The sequence below is a fragment of the Homo sapiens genome, chromosome 5, assembly GCF_000001405.40.
Source record: "Homo sapiens chromosome 5, GRCh38.p14 Primary Assembly".
Lineage (NCBI taxonomy): Eukaryota > Metazoa > Chordata > Mammalia > Primates > Hominidae > Homo > Homo sapiens.
Window position 1 is genome coordinate 178,912,061 of NC_000005.10, and position 21,940 is coordinate 178,934,000.

General features: G+C 41.7%; 1 protein-coding gene and 1 pseudogene across 1 annotated transcript in view; both read left to right on the plus strand.

Annotated features, from left to right (window-relative positions):
* The window catches only part of ZFP2 (ZFP2 zinc finger protein), a 37,300-nt gene extending 16,148 nt beyond the window's left edge, over positions 1-21,152 (plus strand). The window contains exons 2-5 of the mRNA NM_030613.4: positions 524-659; positions 922-1,011; positions 4,505-4,650; positions 19,177-21,152. Coding sequence (NP_085116.2) covers positions 19,254-20,639 — 1,386 coding nt within the window. The 5' untranslated portion in view covers positions 524-659; positions 922-1,011; positions 4,505-4,650; positions 19,177-19,253 and the 3' untranslated portion in view covers positions 20,640-21,152. The remainder of the gene's footprint in view (positions 1-523; positions 660-921; positions 1,012-4,504; positions 4,651-19,176) is intronic.
* Positions 9,960-10,854, plus strand: PIGFP1 (phosphatidylinositol glycan anchor biosynthesis class F pseudogene 1; annotated as a pseudogene).
* Positions 21,153-21,940: the final 788 nt, after the last annotated feature.

Genomic DNA, 21,940 nt, shown 5'->3' on the forward strand with positions numbered 1-21,940 from the left:
AAGTGGAGGTTGCAGTAAGCCGAGAACGTGCCACTGCACTCCAGCCTCGGCTACAGAGCAAGACTCGGTCTCAAAAAAATAGGAAAGAGAAAGAAAAGAAAAGAAAAGAACGAGGGCTGGGCTGTGACTGTATGTGGCTGATAAATTGCTATCGACCTCATCTGTTGAGTGTCAAGTGTCCTGTGTTTGGTCATCATGTACCATTTGGGGCAGGGATTCCTTCCTTCACCAATGAGGTGAATAGGAGGTGATCACAACACCACTCCTTCCTCTCCCATGGGAATCTAGAGCCGCCTTTAGTGCCTTTCCTTATTTCTCACTTATACCTACTCTTCCTGTCCTTACCTCCCAAAACACTTTTTATATTATGTCTCTGGTTATTTCGTGATTGGTGGCAGACATTTTCTTCCATCTGGAGGGCAGCATGTTTTCTCAGGCAGATCTTTGTCCTTTCAGTGCTGCTGGGATTTTCACTCCCCTCAGAGGGTTTGGTTGGCATAATCCCTTATTGAGGAATTTTTAGTTTCAGGAGTCAGTGACCTTCAAGGATGTGTCCATAGATTTCTCTTGGGAAGAGTGGATTCAAGCAGATTCTGCTCAGAGGATGACCGTGTATGGGGAGGTGATGCTGGAGAACTACAGGAACCCGGTCTCACTGGGTAAGGACTTCTTGTAACTCAAAACCCACCTCTTGACAATCATAAGGCCTGATCATAAGGCATTGTTTTAGGGTGTTTGCTTGGTGTCCTCTCTTTCAAGGCAGAAGATTGAAATTTTCTGTAGAGAATGGAAAATGGGGAACTTCATAAGCCACACCTTCCTTGTTTCAGAAGCCCTGAAGGAGAAATGATCAGAACTCTGCTAGGATTGGTTTTTAGGCTCAGTTCAGAACCCAAATTTAATGTCTCTCCTCTTAAGCAGGAAATCACCTTTCCAAACCCAATGGGACTTCCCAGCTGGAACGAGAACTGAGTCTGATGCAAAAAGAACCGCCTGAGGGTGGCTTTCGAGGTAAGTGCCAGGCTGTGCAGACTTGTTAAATGAGTGTGTCTTTGGGGAAAATCACTTCAGAGATTGTTGGGTCTCTGGAGAGACTAGGGCCACTGGATGTGTGTTCTCAGATGACACCTCCGCATTACTGATGGGCCTCTTTTCTCTAGGGCTCACTTATGTCATCTTGCAGGGAGGTGGTGGATTATGAGGAGTAAATGAGTTTTTACATTTATGGCACTTACCCACTGCGTGGAACATACTGAGCATTTGGTAAATGTTAGCAACCACTATGTCCTCTTCTGTCTTCCTCTGCATTCTGAATTGAAACCCTGTCTTTACGCATCTTCTCTGGGCTTTTACTGTCTTTCATGAGTGTTTCCTCTCAACCATAACGTATATCCATAGCTTCCTTTCTGTCATTCATGTAAATATTTGTAAGCTTTTTCTCCTTCAAAGGAAACTAACATTTCTCTTCCTCTGCATTGTGTGAGAGAGTTTTAGACAGTCTTCATTTAAAAACATGAAAAATGATGTTAGCCTTGTTTTCATTTCTAGCAGCCTTACATTGTGTATATTTTCTTTCTCATTCCCAAAATTCTAATCTGCATTACTACCCATTCAATGCCATTTACCTCAAAATGTTGAATGCTCCTTTATCTTTGTTATCTGGTTTCTAATCCTTATCACAACTGAAATTTCTGTTTTAGGTGTTATTACTGACTTTTCTCTGCAAAAAAAAAAAATGCATTTTACATCTTTATCTTCTCTACCATGTGCAAAAGTACCAATCATTTCTTTTTTTTTCTTTTTTTTTTTTTTTTGAGATGGAGTCTCGCTGTGTCACCCAGGCTGGAGTGCAGTGGCACAATCTCAGCTCACTGCAAGCTCCGCCTCCCGGGTTCACACCATTCTCCTGCCTCAGCCTCCGGAGTAGCTGGGACTACAGGTGCCCGCCACCACGCCCAGCTAATTTTTTGTACTTTTAGTAGAGACGGGGTTTCACTGTGTTAGCCAGGATGGTCTCGATCTCCTGACCTCGTGATCCGCCTGCCTTGGCCTCCCAAAGTGCTGAGATTACAGGCGTGAGCCACCGTGCCTGGCCCTAATCATTTCTTTGTATATTTTTTTTAAATTAAAGAGATAGGCAAATATTTAATCTCTAGATAATATAAAGCTATCTAAGATAAAACAATGAAAGAAATCATTAAAGGAACACAATTATAGGAAAAACATTGCCTGTAACCATCACTGCTGGTTTCCCACAAGTTTTTTTAAAGAATGGGATTCTGGGAGAGGAATCACTGGGTCAAAGGATATATCCATTTTTTATGGTCTTGCTACATATTGCACTGCTTTAGATACTATTTTGTGTTTAATGATAATTTCTTTGGTATAAAATGAAAGGTAGTGTTAATTACTTTTATTACAGATTTCTATGGATTTTATTACTATTGATATTTGTATTCTTATGTAAATAACCTATTTATTCAACAAATATCTATTGAGTACTATTCTTAGCACTGGGACTACAGCAATAAGCACAGCAGGCAAAGTGTTTTTGAGGAGCTTATATTCTAATGGGGAGACAATAAAGGAAGAAGGGAGGGGGGGACAGAAGGGAAAGGAAAGGAGGCAGGAAGGGAGGAAATGAATATAACACAGTGATAGGTGCGGTGTGGAAAAATAAAGCAGCATAAGAGAATGACATTAGTTAACAGGAGTGTGATTTTACAGGGAGGGCTTCTCCTTTAATGAGACTTTTGAGCAAATACTCAAAGTGATGGGCCACATGGGAGAACATTGAGGACATAGGGAACAGCAGGTGCGAAGGCCCTGAGGTAGGAGATTGTGTGGCATTGTTTGAAGGGGAGTGTGCTAGCAGATACGAAGATTTCTGTAAACCTTACGTTTCAGTCCTTCTGTAAAAAGATCTATTTGTACTATCATTTTTTAAATTTCTGTGAGCCACTCATTGTCTGAATGTTCTTCTTAAATAGCAGTCTTTCTAACGCATACACTAACTTCACTCATCTGTTTGGGAGTATTTCATTGTTTTTGTTTCTGGTTTTCTGGTATGTATGTGCAGCAGTTTTTTCCTTGCTCCCTAGATTATTTTATTGATGCCATTTTCATTGCTTATTGTCATTCTGGTGGGTTTTCTGGAAGCAGCAGAAGCAAACACATATATTTTGATACTGTGTTTTCATCTCCCACTTCTTTACCCCATTCGTGCTTCCCTACTGGGTTAGAACCTAAAGGTTTTTCTTTCTTTTTTTTTTTTTTTTTTTTTTTGAGATGGAGTCAGGCTGGAGTGCAGTGGTGCAGTCTTGGCTCACTGCAACCTCCGCCTTCCAGGTTCAAGCAATTCTTCTGCCTCAGCCTCCTGAGTAGCTGGGACTACAGGTGCACACTGCCGTGCCCGGCTAATTTTTTGCATTTTAGTAGAGACAGGGTTTCACTGTGTTGTCCAGGCTGGTCTCAAACTCCTGAGCTCAGGCAGTCTGCCCACCTCAGCCTCCCAAAGTGCTAGGATTATAGGCGTGAGCCATGGCACCCAGCTCACTTGTTTTTTTTTTTACTGCATGTGACACTGTATTTTGCTCATCATTTTCCATGTCTGTCTGTCTTTAGCCGGGCATGGTTGCGTGCACCTGTAATCCCAGCTACTCGGGAGGCTGAGGTGCAAGAATCACTTCAACCCGGGAGGCTGAGGTTGCGGTAAGCTGAGATTGTGCCACTGCACTCCAGCCTGGGCAGCGGAGCAATACCCACTAATATGTAGGCTCACCGAATTGTCATTGAACATGTTTTTCTTTACATTCCCTGACTATGACATTGCTTGCTGGAGTAAGTACTTAAATATTTGTTGAGTGAATATTTAATGACATCAATTAGAATTTTCATAAATCTGGTGAAAATATAAATTTGAATTTATGAAATTCATATCAATACAGATTGGATAATTATTGGGATGAATGAATGAGTGGGCAGGGCAAAACAGCAAAGGTGGGACCCTCAGGACAATAACATAGTGAGGGGGCCAAGGATGCTCTGGTGAAGGTGAGTGGTCCAAGGAGGAGGAGAGGGCCCAGCAGGAGAACATGGTCGAAGGGAGAGAGGAGAGTCAAGGTAGAGTATGACAGTGCCAAGTAGGGAATGAAAATGCCTGTTGGATTTGGTGATGAGGGAGTGGCCTGGGACCCAGGGAAGAGCCCATTTAGTGCTGAGAGAAATACGCTGTGGGCAGAAAAGTGAAGAGGAAGCAAGCAAGTGAAGACTTTTAAGTACAGACTGTCGTTTCAACAAGGCCAGCTTCTAAGGAAAAGGAAGAAAGAGTAAGAACTCAGAAGAAGCCTGTGGTTTGTTTTTTAACAAGGAAAAGACTTGAGTGTATCTGAAAGAGCAGAGAGGTGTCCATTGCAGTGGGAGAAACTAAAGATAGGCGAAAGTTGAATGGAAAGGAGCCCATAGAACATGATGATTTGCAAACTCCAGATCTTGTTCTTTCCAGATTTTCTTGGATATTGCTGTCAGATTAATCTGACATTTAGTCCTCTCATTATCCTGTCCCAGTCAAGGGGAGAAAGTATTGACTGAGTGCTGTGCTCAGCTCTTCCACAGCCAGCATCTCACTTACTTGACACAAAACATCTATAGGTAAGTACTGGTACTCCTCTTACGGTGGAAGACATTGGCTCTGAAAGGTGAAATAACATGTCAGAATCTGAACACATATCTTTTGTTTTGTTGGTTTTTTACTTTGAGTTTAATGGTAATTCTCGCTTTCTTCCCTTGCCCTGCTGTGTTGTTATTTCCTAGTATATTTAGTAAAACTAGAAACTTCTGTATCCTGGCCTAATTTTCTTTTCAGCATCATTTCTTTTCTCTGTACTAAAGCTTTGTACAGTTGAAAGCATTGTTAGATTTTTGCTCCTGTTTTACAAAAGATGAATAGAAACTGCAAATCCAGAAGTGCTGTCCCTGGTGCCAGTATTTTCATTGTAAACTGACTAATTTTGAGAAAAGATAGAAATTTTTAGTAATGTGGAAAGCAGTGTCTTTTAGCCTCTCATCAATAGCAATTAGATTTAAATCATTTAATCATATTCAGTTATGAAGGAGATAAAAATTAAGAACATGAATAAAGTACTATCAAAGATTATGTGTAAAAATACAGTTGGGGATTCTATAATCTTTTTAGCTCTCCAGGAAGCCACCCTAACCATCCCTAAACATAGGAGCCTGCTGTCTGTGTTTCACACATGATTTTTAAAAATGTGGCCGGGCGTCGTGGCTCACACCTGTAATCCCAGCATTTTGGGAGGCTGAGGCGGGCAGATCTCTTGAGGTCAAGAGTTCGAGACCAGTCTGGCCAACATGGTGAAACCCCGTCTCTACTAAAAATACAAAAATTAGCCAGGTATGGTGGCACGTACCTATAATTCCAGCTACTCAGGAGGCTGAAGCGTGAGAATCACTTGAACCCGGGAGGTGGAAGTTGCAGTAAGCCGAGATCATGCCACTGCACTCCAGCCTGGGCAACAGAGCAAGACTCCATCTCAAAAAAAAAAAAAATTTTCAGAGATGTACTGGATAACTACTTCTGCATATATGTATGTCTGTCCATGTAAATATATGTGTACATATATAGAGAAACATACACAGAGAATTTATATAGTTAAGAGTCTCTATCTGCCTGCATGCTCACATGAGCCTCACTGATGTTTAATACGTACACATATCTTTGCTTTCGTTACTAGGAAAACTGATCTAAAATACTATAATGAATGTAGAAGTATTCAAAAAGTTCATTCTTCCTTAAATAAGACAGGCCCACTGCTGCCTCAGGGCCTTAGCACTGGCTGTTACCCTGTCTGGGAAGCTTTCCCTTAGATAGTCCTATGACTTCCTCTCTTAGTCCCTTAAAGTCTTGGTTTAAATGTCACCTTTTCAGTGAGGCCTTTTCTTATGACCCACTTTAAAATTGCAGACGTTTTCTCTCACCCATCATGTTCCCTATATCCATTTAAATGCTTTTATTGTTTTTCTGTAAGGTATACCACTTACTTATTGTCTCCCTTTCTCTTGCTAAAATATGTTTCATAAGGGCAGACATTTTTTCTGTTTATTGCTATATCCTGAGCACCCAGAACAGTACCTGGCTTGATAAGTATTTATTGAATGAATGATTTATCGTGTTCATAAAACCAGTTTGACTGCTATATGGAGAGAATGCATTGTAGGGTAGCAAGAGTTTAAATAGAAAATCCAGACAGGTGGGTATAGAAATAGTCTAGTTGGGTGTTAGGAGTAGCTAACTGTTACCCAGAGGATGGAAGAAATATAAAAGGAGAAAATAAATAAATCAACTTGCCCTTTTCAAGAAGCATGGGACCTGCTTGCTGCCCAGTCCCATCCCACACACCCATACTGTGCAAGCTCCCAGCCTCTGCTATGGCTTGTGCCAGCCGTGTGTACTAAGGGGTCTGTGACAGACCAGACACCTTGGTCTGGAGACTCTAGTTCATGTCCTGGTGAGTATCAGAGTTATATAAATCCTATAAGTTAACGAGTGAAGGCAGAAAAAGCATTCCAAGCCGTTAAGGGAGTATTGAGTATTTCCAGTATTATTACTCAAAAGTCTTGTTTAGGAAAAAAGGAAAGGCAGAGAGAACTGTATGTTGCTTAATGTAAAATAGTAATGATGGTAATGATAACAGCTAATAATCACTGGATCCTTATTACATCCAAGCATAATGCTTTGTGCTTTATAAAGTCCTTATTTAATGAGATAGTAAAATGTCAAGGATCTGAAACATTGTTTAATCCTGGAAGAGCTACAGTTTCTGACCTATACTGCTCAGGCTCCAAGCCCACAATACTCCATCAATTCTGAGTAAAGCCCCCCTAACCGTTTTTCATTTTGTAGGTAGACAGTTATATAATCTGGGAAAAATTAAAAATTTCCCCCCATCTCAGTGGCCATATTGGTCACACTTCTGGAATAACATTAAATAGTAGTAGTAATAGTAAGCACCTTTTCCTTGGTTCTGTTATTAGAGAGAATTCTTCTAGGGCTTTATTTGTATTCTTGGTGCAATGCTAATATTTTTGTTTTTGAACACGAATGGATGAAGGATACCAGTTGAATACTTCTGAACCATCTATCAGGTTGATCATATGACCTATGACCTATTAATATGATAGTAATAGATTCTTAATAGTGAACCATTCTTTATTTCCTGGATAAATCCTTCTTCGTGCTAGTTATACTCTTGATGTCTAAGTAACCAGCATTGTTTAAAAACATTAAGAGTTCTGGCTCTGATATTACAATGACTTAACAGGGTGGGTCTGCTGGTGACAAATTCTCTTAGTTTTCTTTCATATGAGAATGTCTTTATTTCACCTTCATTCCTGAAAGATTTTTGCTAATATAGAACTCTAGGTTTATGGTTATTTCTTTCAGCACTTTGAAATAATTAATCCACTTCCTTCTGGCATCCATGGTTTCTGATGAGAAATTCAGTTATTCACATTTTTGCCCTGCCACCAAGTAGTGTATCAATTTTCCCTGGTTGCTTTCAAGATTGTTTTTTACTTCCATTTTTAGAATTTAATTATGGCTGGGCATAGTGGTTCACACCTGTAATCTCAGCACTTTGGGAGGTGAAGGCAGGTGGATCACTTGAGGCCAGGAGTTTGAGACTGGCCTGGGCAAAACATGGCGAAACCCTTTCTCTGCAAAAAATACAAAACTACCTGGGTGTGGTAGTGCATGCCTGTAGTCCCAGCTACTTGGGAGGCTGAGGAGGCACGGGAATCGCTTGAACCCAGGAGGTGAAGGTTGCAGTGAGCCAAGGTTGTACCACTGCACTTCAGCCTGGGCGACAGAGTGGACTCTGTCTCAAAAGAAAAAAAAAAAAATTTGATTATGATGCATCTGGGCGTGGATTTCTTTGGGTTTACCCTGTTCCTATAGGTTGAAATCTTCTGTCAAATATAAGCTTTTAACCATGATTTCTTCAAATACTTTTTCAGCACCAAACATTTTCTCCTTCTCTGGGACTCCAGTGAGACATATATGAGATCTTTTGTTGTTGTCCCATACATCCCTGAGGTGCTCTTCATCTTTATTTTTTCTCAATCTTTTCTCTCTGTGTTGTTCAGATTGAATAATTTCTTTTAATCTGTCTTCAAGTTAATTCTTTCCTTTTTTCACCCTTCTGCTGTTGGACCTATTTAGCAAGATTTCTATTTTCTATATCAATAAATAAGTGTTTATATATTAAAAATACTGTAGGGCTAGGTGTGGTGGCTCACACCTGTAATCCCAGCACTTTGAGAGGCCAAGGCTGGTGGGTCACGAGGTTAGGATTTCAAGACCAGCCTGGCCAACATAGTGAAACCCCGTCTTTCCTAAAAATACAAAAATTAGCCGGGCATGGTGGCGTGTACCTGTAGTCCCAGCTACTCAGGAGGCTGAGGCAGGAGAATCGCTTGAACCCGGGAGGTAGAGGTTGCAGTGAGTCGAGATCGCGCCACTGCACTCCAGCTTGGGCAACAGAGTGAGACTTCGTCTCAAAAAAAAAAAAAAAATTGTATATTTTTCACTTCCAGAATTTCCACTTAGTTCTTTTTATATGCTCATTTTCTTTGCTGAGATTTTATTTCCATTTCTTTAGAGTGTGTTCACTCTGACTTGTTGGAACAAGTAAGGCAGATGCTTTAAAGTCCTTGTAAGATAATTGTATCATCTCACTTGATGTCTGTTGGTTATCTTTTCCCATGTAAGTTGAAATGTTCCTGGGTCTTTATATTCTCAGTGACTTCAAAAGGTATCATGGGCATTTAGAATATTATGTTATAAAACTCTATGTCTTCTTGAAATCCAACAGAAAATGTTGATATTTCTGTGTTAGCAGGCAGTCAACCTGGTTGAGCTCAGACTACAAAGTCCAACCAGCTTTCTGTGGGTTGTGGTTTCTGTGTCAGTTTGGTTGTCAGAGACTTCACATTGTTGCTTGAATCTTGCTCACATGTGTGTCACTCTGTGGCCAGTATGGAATTTAAGCAGCGGTCCCTCTTATTCTCAAAGTCCACGTGTGCTGCTTAGGGGGTCAGATTCATGCATATGTATCTCGCAGGTGAGCCCAGGAGTTCTTAAATAACTTCCAAGGTCATGTTCCCGAATTCTCCCCTGTCTATGTCCGCAGTAGTTTCAGCTTCCCTGTGGCTGTCCTTTTGACTCTTCTGGCTACAAGGCAGGGGCCTGTAGTTGCCCCGCTCTGCTGTGACTTCCAGTGACCATCCCTATGTAGAGCCAAGCAGCAGGAGGACAAAGAAAAGATGATGAAGTGGGGCTTCTTGCTACCCTTCTTGGGACCACAGATCCCTTGCTTGGGGAAGAAGGACCCTCTCCTCATGTTTTTGAGCTCCTGTCAGCTTGCAGTGGCACTGCTGTTGCAGCAGCCACCAGAGGATTGCTTAAGTGCTGGGGTGCAATAGAACAGAGAAAGGGGAAAAAATAGGCAATTCCCCCTGCTCTCTCTAAGCATTAGAAGTCCTTTTCCTGCTCCATGAACCGGCCCTAGAGCTTTTCCTGGAGAACCTCCTCTGCCTTCTCCTGCCTCAGTGCCTGTTTTCAGATGGCTGTATAAGTTTAGTACAGAAGACAGCTGAGGAAAAAAAGGAAGCTCACCACTGGTTCAGTGGTACTTTGGATTTTGGTTCTCTTCCCCAATTCACCTGCTACTGTTTACTTCTCAGGGCCTTCAAATAATTGCTTCATGCTTTCTGTTCGGGTTTATCAGTGGAAGAGACATGGTGGAATAGGCCTACTCCACCTTATCAGGAAGAGGATCCTCTACTTTGGTTTTAATTTGATCTTTGTCTAACTTCTTAAGGTGGAAACATAGGTCACAGATTATGGGCCATTCTTATTTACTGTAAAAACATTTAAAGCTCCTTCCGCAGGCAGGAGAGTCAGCTAGCCACCCAAGAAAACATCATGAAAGATACCGATATCAAGAGACTACTGTATACCCATCTTTTATGCATATTTTCAATTATCCTAAGTGTCTTCATTCCATCACTCTTCTTGGAGAACTCCTCAATATTGGAAACACACTTGACATGGTTGTGCGTCTGTTCTGGTTTTGTAACTGCTGTCAGTCTAGTACTATATTTAGTAGTGAAACCAAATACATCCTCTAAAATAAGTTCATTATCATACAAGGTAACCAGATTTTTGAAATGCTGTATCTACTTTCTTATGTCTTGTTTCTCCTTTCATGTAATTTTTGTTCTATATGGAGCACCACTAATAGAGTTGGCATTGGAAACATTTTTATTTGCAGTTATTTTGTCTACTTTTACTATTGTGCCTTACTTATGTTTGTTAGGACCAAACCTCAAAGCATGGCTAAGAGTTTTCAGTAGAAATGGAGTTACATCCATATGGGAGAATAGTCTCCAGATCACTGCAATGTCTAGTTTTGTAGGAGCATGGCTTGGAGCACGTCCTATTCCTTGACAGGGCAAGAGCATGGCAGGTATGGCCCATCTCCTGTACGCTTGGAGCGACCTTTGTCCACGTGGCTGGCCTTGTTATTTCACCACTCTGGATATACTGGAATAGAAAGCAACTTACATACAAGAACAATTAACTGGAGCAAAGGGAGATATTTCTTTGTGCAGATTCTGTAAGGGCTGTGCAGAAATGTGTGTGGTCAAAGCCAAGCAGTTCCATTTACAGCACTGTTTTTTATGTAGTTACAACATGATGTGATTGTAGCTTTTTAAACTATGAAACCCCTGAGAGATTGTACCTTCTAGTTGAAATAAAGTATTTATAATAGAAAAAAAAATATTGAAAGCTATATAATTTCCTCTAAGCATTGCTTTGGTTGTAACACATAAAATATTATCTCATTCCATTGTGATTTCCTCTTTGACCTCTCAGAATTTACAAATTCACTGCTTAATTTTCAAACATGAGGATTTCCCAGATAGTTGAAATGTAATTCTTTAGGTGTCTTTTTTTAATTGTAATGTTTTGTGTTTGTGTGTATATGTGTACAATATACGTAACATAAAATTTGCCATTTTAGCCATTTTTAGTGTATCATTTGGAGGCATTTAAATACATTCACATTGTTGTGGAACCAGCACCGCCATCCGTCTCCAGAACTTTTTCATCTTTCCTAATGAAAACTCTATATCCTTTAAGCAATAGCATCCCATTCCCCGCTTCCGCCAGCCCCTGGTAACCTCCGCTTTCTGCCTCTATGAATTTGACTACTCTAGATACCTCATATGAGTTGAATCATGCAATATTTGTCTTTTCGTGACTGGCTTATTTCACTTAGCATAATATCTTCGAGGTTCATCCTTGAAGTGGATTCAGCATGTCACTGCCAGTCTTTTTATACCCAAACTAACTTCCCCATTCATGTTTATTTTTTATTCAAATTGAATATTTAAATAATAGCAGAAATGGTTTAGGAGTACTGTTATTACTGAATCTTCATATTTAAGACTGTGTTTTGCCTTTCTCTGCACATGTGTGGAGTGCTGACCATGTGGAGTTCTTGAGTCACATCAGTTCTTGCAGGCATGGCCCCATTGTCTTTCGGCATCCTGTGTTCCTGAGAAAATCTCTTCTGCCAGTTTTTTAAAAATTTGTAGGTAATCTTTTTTTTTTTTTCTTTCGTAAGCATCAACTCCTCAGAACTAACTTTTAAGTCTAAATTCCATGAAGGTATACTGAATCCTACTATTAAGTTTTCTGTAGTACAAAAATATGTTTGAACTTAAAATGATTAATATTTTCCAGAATAGCAAATACTTTGTTCTTTTTGTAATTTGATTTTTGAAATACATACACAGAAGAATGTGTAAAATCTGACTGTTCAACAAAAACCTACATACTCTTCTAAGCCCTTTATTAACTAACTTTTGTTCTTATATCAGCACTATAAGATAGGTACCATTTAACAAATTTGGACAATAGAGCACAGAGAGGTTAAGAAACCTACGCAAGGTGTGGTGGCTCATGCCTGTAATCCCAGCACTTTTTGAGGCCGAGGCGGGCGGATCACGAGGTCAGGAGATCGAGACCATCTTGGCTAACACGGTGAAACCCCGTCTGTACTAAAACCACAAAAAATTAGCCGGGCATGGTGGCGGGCACCTATAGTCCCAGCTACTCGGGAGGCTGAGGCAGGAGAATGGCGTGAACCCAGGAGGTGGAGCTTGCAGTGAGCCGAGATCGCTCCACTGCACTCCAGCCTGCATGACAGAGAGAGACTCTGTCTCAAAAAAAAAAAAAAAAGAAACCTGCCCAAGGTCACACAGCTAATAGTGGTGGAGCTCCAGAGTTCATTTTGAGTTCATTAACTCAAAAGTCCGAAGTTTCATCTTAGTGTTATCGTAACCACTGTGCCCTTCTGCTTCTCTTTTTAGTTAATAATGATAAAGACAAATGAAGAAAAAAGAAAGCAGGCCAGGCACAGGGGCTCCCACCAGTAATCCCAGCACTTTGGGAGGCCAAGGTGGGTGGATCACCTGAGGTCAGGAGTTCAAGATCAGCCTGGCCAACATGGTGAAACCCCATCTCTACTAAAAAGACAAAATTAGCCAGGCATGGTGGTACATGCCTGTAGTCCCTGTAGTCCCAGCTACTTGGGAGACTGAGGCAGGAGAATCACCTGAACCCAGGAGGCGGAGGTAGCAGTAAGCCGAGATTGCGCCATTGCACTACACCCTGGGCGACAAGAGCAAAACTCCATCTCAAAATAATAATAATAATAATAAGGCAGATATCCAGTTACCAGAGCCCAGATCAAGAAACAGAACATTGCTAGTGCCATGGAAATGCTTTGTGTGCATCTCCTCATTCACATCCTCTTACCTCTCTCTACCCAAGATATAACCAGTATTCTGACTTCTGTGATACCTCCTTTCCCTCTCTTTATACTATTGCCATTTATCATTGAATCTCTAAACAATATATCTGGTTTTGGTCTGTTTTAAAACTTTAAATTGAATCTTTATATATATATATATATATACACACACACACACACACACACACATATATATACACATATATACATATACATATATATTATGTGCCTTTGCTTATTCATTCATATTGATATGTGTAGCTTTAGTTTATTAATGCTCACTGTTGTCAGTTACTCCATTGTATGAACACTTGACGATCTTGTTATCCATTTTTTGATGATGGGCATTTGTGATGTTTCCAGTTTTTGCTGTTGTACACAGTGCTGTGTGAAGAATCATGAATTCTCACACTGTTGCAAGGTGGAGTTACTAGTGGAGTTACTAAGTGCATGCACCTAGTGGTAGACTTGCTGTATCAGCCCATGTGCTTGCTCTAGGCTGTACTAAACTATTTTTCCAATGCTTGAATCAGATTGGATTTCCACCAGGAGTATGTGGAAGTTCCCACTATTGCATCTTTCCAAAATCTGAAGCTGTCAGTTTGAATTTTTACATTTTGTTACTTGGGCGGATGTGGTAATGGCATCTTGTTGCGGCTTTAATCGGCTTTCCCTTGGTTACTGTTGAGATTGGGCATCTTTGCTTACGTTTGCAGACCATTCAGGCTTCCTTTCCTTAAGTGCTTATTCAAGTCTTTTGCCCATTTTTCTAGTGGGCTTGGTGTTTCATAAGCATTATTTTCCAAGTCTCCATTCTAGTTTTTTGTGGGTCATGTGTTGCAAATATCTTCTCCCAGTAGGTAGTTTCTATTTTTTTAGCTTTTATTTTTATTTTTATATTTTGAGACAGGATCTTGCTCTGTCTCCCAGGCTGAAGTGCAGTAGCATGATCACGGCTCACTGCAGACTTGAACTCCCGGGCTCAGGCGATCCTCCCACCTCAGCCTCCGAGTAGCTGAGACCACATGTGTGCGCCACCATGATCTGGTAGTTTTTGAATTATTTGTAGAGATGGGCTCTCACTATGTTGCCCTAGGTGATTTAAAATTCCTGGTCTCAAGAAATCCTCCCACATCAACCTCCTAAAGTGCTGGGATTACAGGCGCGAGCCACTGCACTCAGCTTTTTATCTTTTTTTATGATGTCTTTTGATGACTAGAAGCACTTAATTTTCTCCCAACATTTTTCTTTCTTCTTTTGGTCTTTATACTTCTTTTTTCTTCTCATTCTCTGTTTTAATTATTTTTAAAATTTATTTCCTGAACTTCTTCATAGTTTCCAAACTTAATATTTTCTGTGTATAATTTATCTTTGGATAGAAGCAGTTCTGTCTGGACTTTGTATTTGTCTAATAGTGTAAATGGATTCTCCTTTGCTTGTTATGTTGTTTAATACATAGCACCTTAAATGTTCCCAAAGAACTTGAGTTGGCTGGCTGACCCCTGTACAGAGGTGAGGCAACAGGGAGCTGCCAATTCACATGTCACCTGCTGGTATTTTCTTTTTTTTTTTGAGATGGAGTCTCGCTGTGTCGCCCAGGCTGGAGTGCAGTGGCACGATCTCGACTCACTGCAAGCTCCGCCTCCCAGGTTCACGCCATTCTCCTGCCTCAGCCTCCTGAGTAGCTGGGACTACAGGTGTGTGCCACCATGCCCGGCTAATTTTTTTGTATTTTTTAGTAGAGACAGGGTTTCACCGTGTTAGCCAGGATGGTCTAGATCTCCTGACCTGGTGATCCGTCCACCTCGGCCTCCCAGAGTTCTGGGATTACAGGTGTCAGCCACCACGCCCGGCCACCTGCTGGTATTTTCATACTCAGTTTGACAGTTCCTCTGTTTGGGGTTACTTGGTTGTATGTGTTTTGGAAGTGGAGCCTGGTTGTCTTTCCACTTTTTCTCTCTTTTCACTTAAGCAGATCAGGTTGGAAGAAAGAGGCCTGGTTAATGCTTATTTCTTGCTTCACAGGAAAGCCTGTGCCCATAGGCCTTGGTTTGTTTGTTCAGTGTTGATCTCTCTCTGTTGACTTCGATCAGCAATCGGAAAGCTGATTCTCAGGTTGCAGTGCCAGTCCTCTACCCCTTATTTTGTCTGGGATAAGAAATAGGATCTAAGAAAATTCAAGTCTGAGTAGCTACAAGGTCCTTTTCCAGCCTCCTCTCAAACAGTTTAGCAGATCCCCTGGCCTGTCCCTACCACCAGTTCTCATCTTTAAGGAATGCGTATTTAGGAAATGGTAGTATCCCTTAGGACTGTCTTACCCCTGTGAATAAATTACAGCCTGCTTAAAGTTTAAGGGGAAGAAACCTCTAGATTGTGTCATCCTCCTTTAAGAGTTTAAGTTTCATGTATGTTCTGGTACTTTATGTTCCAGAGGAGTATATTCTCAAAGGGTAGTTTACATACTGTGTTAGTCTGTTCTCACATTGCTATAAAGAAACACCTGAGACTAGGTAATTTATTCATTTATTTATTTTTGGGGTTTTTTTTTTTTGAGACGGAGTTTCGCTCTTGTCGCCCAGGCTGGAGTGTGATGGCACAATCTCAGCTCACTGCAACCTCCACCTCCCGGGTTCAAGTGATTCTCCTGCCTCAGCCTCCTCAGTAGCTGGGATTACAGGTGCACACCATCATACCTGGCCAATGTGTGTGTGTGTGTGTGTGTGTGTGTGTGTGTGTGTGTGTGTGTGTGTTTTAGTAGAGATGGGGTTTTGCTATGTTGGCCAGGCTAGTCTCGAACTCCTGACCTCGGGTGATTCTGCCCACCTCAGCCTCCCAAAGCGCTGGGATTACAGCCGTGAGCCACCAAGCCTGGCTGAGTCTGGGTAATTTATAAGAAAAGTTTAATTGGCTTATGGTTCTACAGGCTGTACGGGAAGCATTAGTGCCAGCATCTGCTTGTAGGGAAGCCTCAGGAGGCTTACAGTCATAGTGGAGGGCAAAAGGGGAGCAGGCATATCAAATGATAAAACCAGGAGCAAGAGAGAGTGGCAGGGGGAGGTGCTACACACTTTTAAGTGGCCAGATCTCATGAGAACTCACTCATGATAGGGAGGACAGTACCAAGAGGGAGGGTGCTAAACCATTCATAAGAAACCACTCCCATGATCCAGTCACCTCCCATAAGGCCCAACCTCCAACACTGGGGATTACATTTCAATATGAGATTTGGGTGGGGACACACATCCAAATGAAATCATATCATTCTGCCCCTGGCCCCTCCCAATCTTATGTCTTTCTCACATTTCAAAATACAATCTTGCCTTTCCACTAATCCCTAAAGTCTTAACTCGTTCCAACATTAACTCAAAAGTCCACAGTCTCATCTTAGACAAGGCAAGTCCCTTCTACCTATGAGCCTATAAAATAAAAGACAAGTTAGTTACCTCCAAGATATACTGGGGGTATAGGCATTGGGTCAACACTCCTGTTCCAAAAGGGAGAACTCTCTGCCAAAAGAAAGGGGCTATAGGCCCCATGAAAGTCCAGAAACCATCAGGGCAGTCATTAAATCTTAAAGCTTCAAAATTATTTTCTTTGACTCTGTATCTCATATCCAGGGCACTCTGCTGCGAGGGGTGGAGTCCCTAGGCCTTGGGCAGATCTGCCCACATGGCTTTGCAGTGTTCAGTCCCTGCAGTGCTCTCATGGGTTGTAGTTGAATGTCTCTGGCTTTTCCACATGCAGGGTGCAAACTGCCAGTGCATCTTACATTCTGGAGTCTGGAGGGCAGTGGCCCTCTTCTCACAGGCAGTGCCCCAGTGGGGATTCTACATGGCGGCTCCAATGCCACATTTCTCCTCTGCACTGCCCTAGTATAGGTTCTCTGTGTGGCCTCTGCCCCTGCAGCAGGCTTCTACCTGGACACCTAGGCTTTTCTATACATCCTCTGAAATCTAGATAGAGTTTCCCAAGCCTTAACTGTTCAACTGTGTATACCCACAGGCTTTATATACCATATCAAAGCTGCCAAGGCTTACAGCTTGCACCCTCTGAAGCAGCAGCCTGAGCTGTAACCTGGCCCCTTTCAGCCGTGGGTGGATCTGGAGTAGCTGGGATGCAGGGAGCAGTGTCCCAAGGCTGTGCAGGGCACCGGGCCCTGGGCCTGGCCCAGGAAACCATTCAGTCATCCTAGGCCTCTGGTGGAAGGGGCTGCTGTGAAGGTCTCTGAAATGCCTTTGAGGCCTTTTCCCCATTGTCTTGGCTTACTAGTACTTGGGTCCTTTTTACTCATGCAAATTTCTGCAGCCTGCTTGAATTCCTTCCCTGAAAATGGGCTTTTCTTTTCTACCACATGGCCAGGCTGCAAATGTTCCACTTACTCCCTTTTAAATACCAGTTCCAGTTTTAAGTCATTTCTTTGTTCTCACATCTGAGCATAGATTGTTAGCAGACAACCCACCTCTTGTGTGCTTTGCTGCTTAGAAATTTCGTCCACCAGATGCCCTCAATCACCATTCTCTCAAGTTCAAAGTTCCACAGATCCCTAGGGCAGGGGCACAGTACAGCCAAGGTCTTTGCTAAAGCATAGCAAAAATGACCTTTGCTGCAGTTCCCAGTAAGTTCCTCATTTCCATCTGAGACCTTAACCAAGACTTCACTGTCCATATCACTATCAGCATTTTGGTCATAACCATTTAACCAGTTTCTAAGATGTTCCAAACTCTCTCTTATCTTCCTATCTTCTTCTGGGTCTTCCAAACTCTTCCATCCTTTGCCTGTTACCCAGTTATTCCAAAGTCACCTCCACATTTTCAGGTATCTTTATAGAAATTCTCCACTTCCCCGTACCAATTTTCTGTATTACTCAATTCTCACATTGTTATGAAGAAATACCTCAGACTGGGTGATTTATAAGAAAAGAGGTGTAATTGGCTCACAGTTCCTGTACAAGAGGCATAGTGCCAGCATCTGCTTGACGGTGGGGGGGGGGGCTCAGGAGGCTTACAGTCATGGCAGTAGGTGAGAGGGGAGCAGGCACATCAAATGGCAAGAGCAAGAGTGAGGAGGGAGGTGTTACACACTTGTAAATAACCACATCTCACAAGAACTCACTCATGATAGGGAGGACAGTACCAAGGGGGATGGTGTTAAACCATTCATAAGAAACCACTCCCATGATCCAATCATCTCCCATAAGGCCCCACCTCCAACACTGGGGATTACATTTCAATATGAAATTTGGGTGGGGACACACATCCAAACTATACCACCTAGATTATGTTACTTACTTCCTATCATATTTCATTTTATTTACTTCCTATATCATATTTCTTTCTTTTTTTTTCCCTTTCCTTTTTTTTTTTTTTTTTTTTTTTTGAGACAGAGTCTCACTCTGTCACCCAGGCTGGAGTGCAGTGGTACTACCTCAGCTCACTGCAACCTCCACCTCCTGGGTTCAAGCAACTCTCCCATCCCAGCCTCCCAAGTAGCTAAGACTACAGGCGCCTGCCACCATGCCCAGCTAATTTTTGTGTATTTAGTAGAGATGGGATTCCACCATTTTGGCCAGGCTGGTCTTGAACTCCTGACCTCAAGTGATCCGCCTGCCTTGGCCTCTCAAAGTGCTGAGATTACGGCCATGAGCCACCACACCCGGGCTTGACCATATTTCTTAATCCTCATTTTATATCTGTGACCCTCAGAGCCAGTGAGACAAGTAACTAGTTAAGATGGTGTTAAGAGCCACGGTTTGAATCCAAGTTTGTCTGACTTTGAGTCAGCAATCTTTACATTGTGTCACACTGTGACATTTTAGGAAGATTAATTTGGTGTAGGATTCTAGGTGGCCTCGTAGGAGGAAAGAAACTTCTGGCAGGAATACCAGGTACAGTGTGCAGGGTTTCCTGATCTGCCTTTCCCAATCCCAGCTCTTCTGCATGTGTTTCCTTAGTTCCATCTTCATTATGTAGCCTACTCCAGTGGTCAGTGCCTTCACTGTCCATCCCTCCTGAATGGGCTCACTCTTTTCTCTGCTTATGCAGTACATCTGCCATCCCCTGCTTTCAGTTCCCCTGTTATCTTTGGATCAGTTCACTGTTGTTTCTCTCCCTTCCTATTTCTCTACCTAATTTTGGGTACATGTTTGAAAGCTCTCAAATGTGCTCAGCAGTTATTTTAGTTGATAGCTAGTTTAATTCTCTCATTCCTACCTTATGCAGTTTCCAGTCTCCTAGCACAGAAACCAATGTGCATTTGAATTTTTTTTTTTTTTCAGACTGGGAGACAAGACTTGAAACCAAAGAGCCAACTCCGAAGCCGGGTATTACTGAAGATTTATGCCATGGGGTAACAATGGAAAGGGAAGGTATCTGGCATTCTACTCTAGGGGAAACCTGGGAACCTAATAATTGGTTAGAGGGACAACAGGATAGTCATCTGAGCCAAGTGGGAGTTACCCATAAGGAAACCTTCACTGAGATGAGAGTATGTGGAGGTAATGAATTTGAAAGATGTTCCAGTCAGGATTCAATCCTTGATACACAGCAAAGCATTCCTATGGTAAAAAGGCCCCATAACTGTAATTCACATGGAGAAGATGCCACACAAAATTCTGAGTTAATTAAAACTCAAAGAATGTTTGTAGGAAAGAAGATCTATGAATGTAATCAGTGCAGCAAAACCTTCAGTCAGAGCTCATCCCTTCTTAAGCACCAGAGGATTCATACTGGGGAGAAACCCTATAAGTGTAATGTATGTGGGAAACACTTCATTGAACGATCCTCCCTTACTGTACATCAAAGAATTCATACTGGAGAGAAACCCTATAAATGTAATGAATGTGGGAAAGCCTTTAGTCAGAGCATGAATCTTACTGTCCATCAACGAACTCACACCGGAGAGAAACCCTATCAGTGTAAAGAGTGTGGCAAAGCCTTCCATAAGAATTCATCTCTTATTCAGCATGAAAGGATTCATACTGGAGAGAAACCCTACAAATGTAATGAATGTGGTAAAGCTTTTACCCAAAGCATGAATTTGACAGTTCATCAGAGAACTCATACAGGAGAAAAACCCTATGAATGTAATGAATGTGGAAAAGCCTTCAGTCAAAGCATGCATCTTATTGTACATCAGAGAAGCCATACTGGAGAAAAACCCTATGAGTGTAGTCAATGTGGAAAAGCCTTTAGTAAGAGCTCAACTCTTACCCTACATCAGCGAAATCACACTGGAGAAAAACCTTACAAATGTAACAAATGCGGGAAATCCTTTAGCCAAAGTACATATCTTATAGAACATCAGAGACTTCATTCTGGAGTAAAACCTTTTGAATGTAACGAGTGTGGAAAAGCTTTCAGTAAGAATTCATCTCTAACTCAACATCGGAGAATTCACACTGGAGAGAAACCTTATGAGTGTATGGTGTGTGGAAAACATTTCACTGGACGATCATCCCTTACCGTGCATCAGGTCATTCACACTGGAGAGAAACCTTATGAGTGCAATGAATGTGGAAAGGCATTCAGCCAGAGTGCTTACCTTATTGAACATCAAAGAATTCATACTGGTGAGAAACCCTATGAATGTGATCAGTGTGGAAAAGCCTTCATTAAGAATTCATCCCTTACAGTGCATCAGAGAACTCATACAGGAGAGAAACCCTATCAGTGTAATGAATGCGGAAAAGCCTTCAGCCGGAGTACAAACCTTACACGACATCAAAGAACTCATACGTGAGGAATGTTTTCACTGGCCCTTACCTCATGATTAACTCTTCAGTAATAATCATATGAGACATACAATGTAGAAACCTAATAAATGTAATGATTGTGGGAATCTTTCAGTTGAAGTACAATATGTCATATCAGATAATACCACTGCAGAGAATCCATCTAAAAGTAGAGAAATCTTGATTCAGAATGTATAATTTCCTTTATATCAGAAGGTTTAAATAGCTAATATAAACAATGAAGAGTCATGCTGAAGATAAGTTCTGTTATATCATACCGCACATTCTCCTTTGGCTATCAGAGACTTTACACTGGAGAGAAAAATGTGAGAGTGTTTAACTGGACAGCCCAGAGACCTGGTATGTAGTCCTAATCTGCCACTGCCTTGGACAACTTGCCTACTTCCACCAGGTTATGGTTCTTTATTTGGTAAATGAATGATTTTGGAGTTAGAAATCTTGTAGGAGCTCTGTTAGCTCTAAAATGCTACAACTCTATAAATATAATGAATGCTGGGAAATCTTTGTTCTTTTACGATCTTATGCTGTCTGTATGCAGTCTAGATGCTCTTGTTCCACAATCTGGTTTCCTTGGATCCTTTTAGTCAAAATGATTTACCTTTACGAATTCCTAGTACCCTTCCATGCCCCTAATCTTCCCCTGCATTGTTATTTTGTCCCCTAACTACAGGCTGGTTTCCATAAATTAATGGAATAAGTATGCAAATGTTTTCATTTATTTATTTATTTATTTATTTTGAGATGGAGTTTCGCTCTTTTGCCCAGGCTGGAGTGCAGTGGCTTGATCTCAGCTCACTGCAAGCTCCACCTCCTGGGTTCATGCCATTCTCCTGCCTCAGCATCCCAAGTAGCTGGGACTACAGGCGCCTGCCACCATGCCTGGCTAATTTTTTTGTATTTTTAATAGAGATGGGGTTTCACCATGTTAGCCAGGATGGTCTCAATCTCCTGACCTCGTGATCCACCCACCTCGGCCTCCCAAAGTGCTGGGATTACAGGCATGAGCCCCCGTGCCCGGCCAAGTATGCAAATCTTAATGCAATAGCATGCTGTTTTGAGTTCTCAATTAATAGTTATTAAACTGTTGTTAAATGATCATTTAGAAAATAACATAGTCCTGTAAGTACAAAGGAATCACATATCTTTGTGTCATATTCTGGCTATCAAAGTAGAAAAGAAAAGACGGGGGCTGAACACTAACAGACATAGCCATCTGACCTGTTAACAAAATGTTGAGGCTGGACAAAGTGGCTCATGCTTGTAATCCCAGCACTTTGGGAGGCTGAGG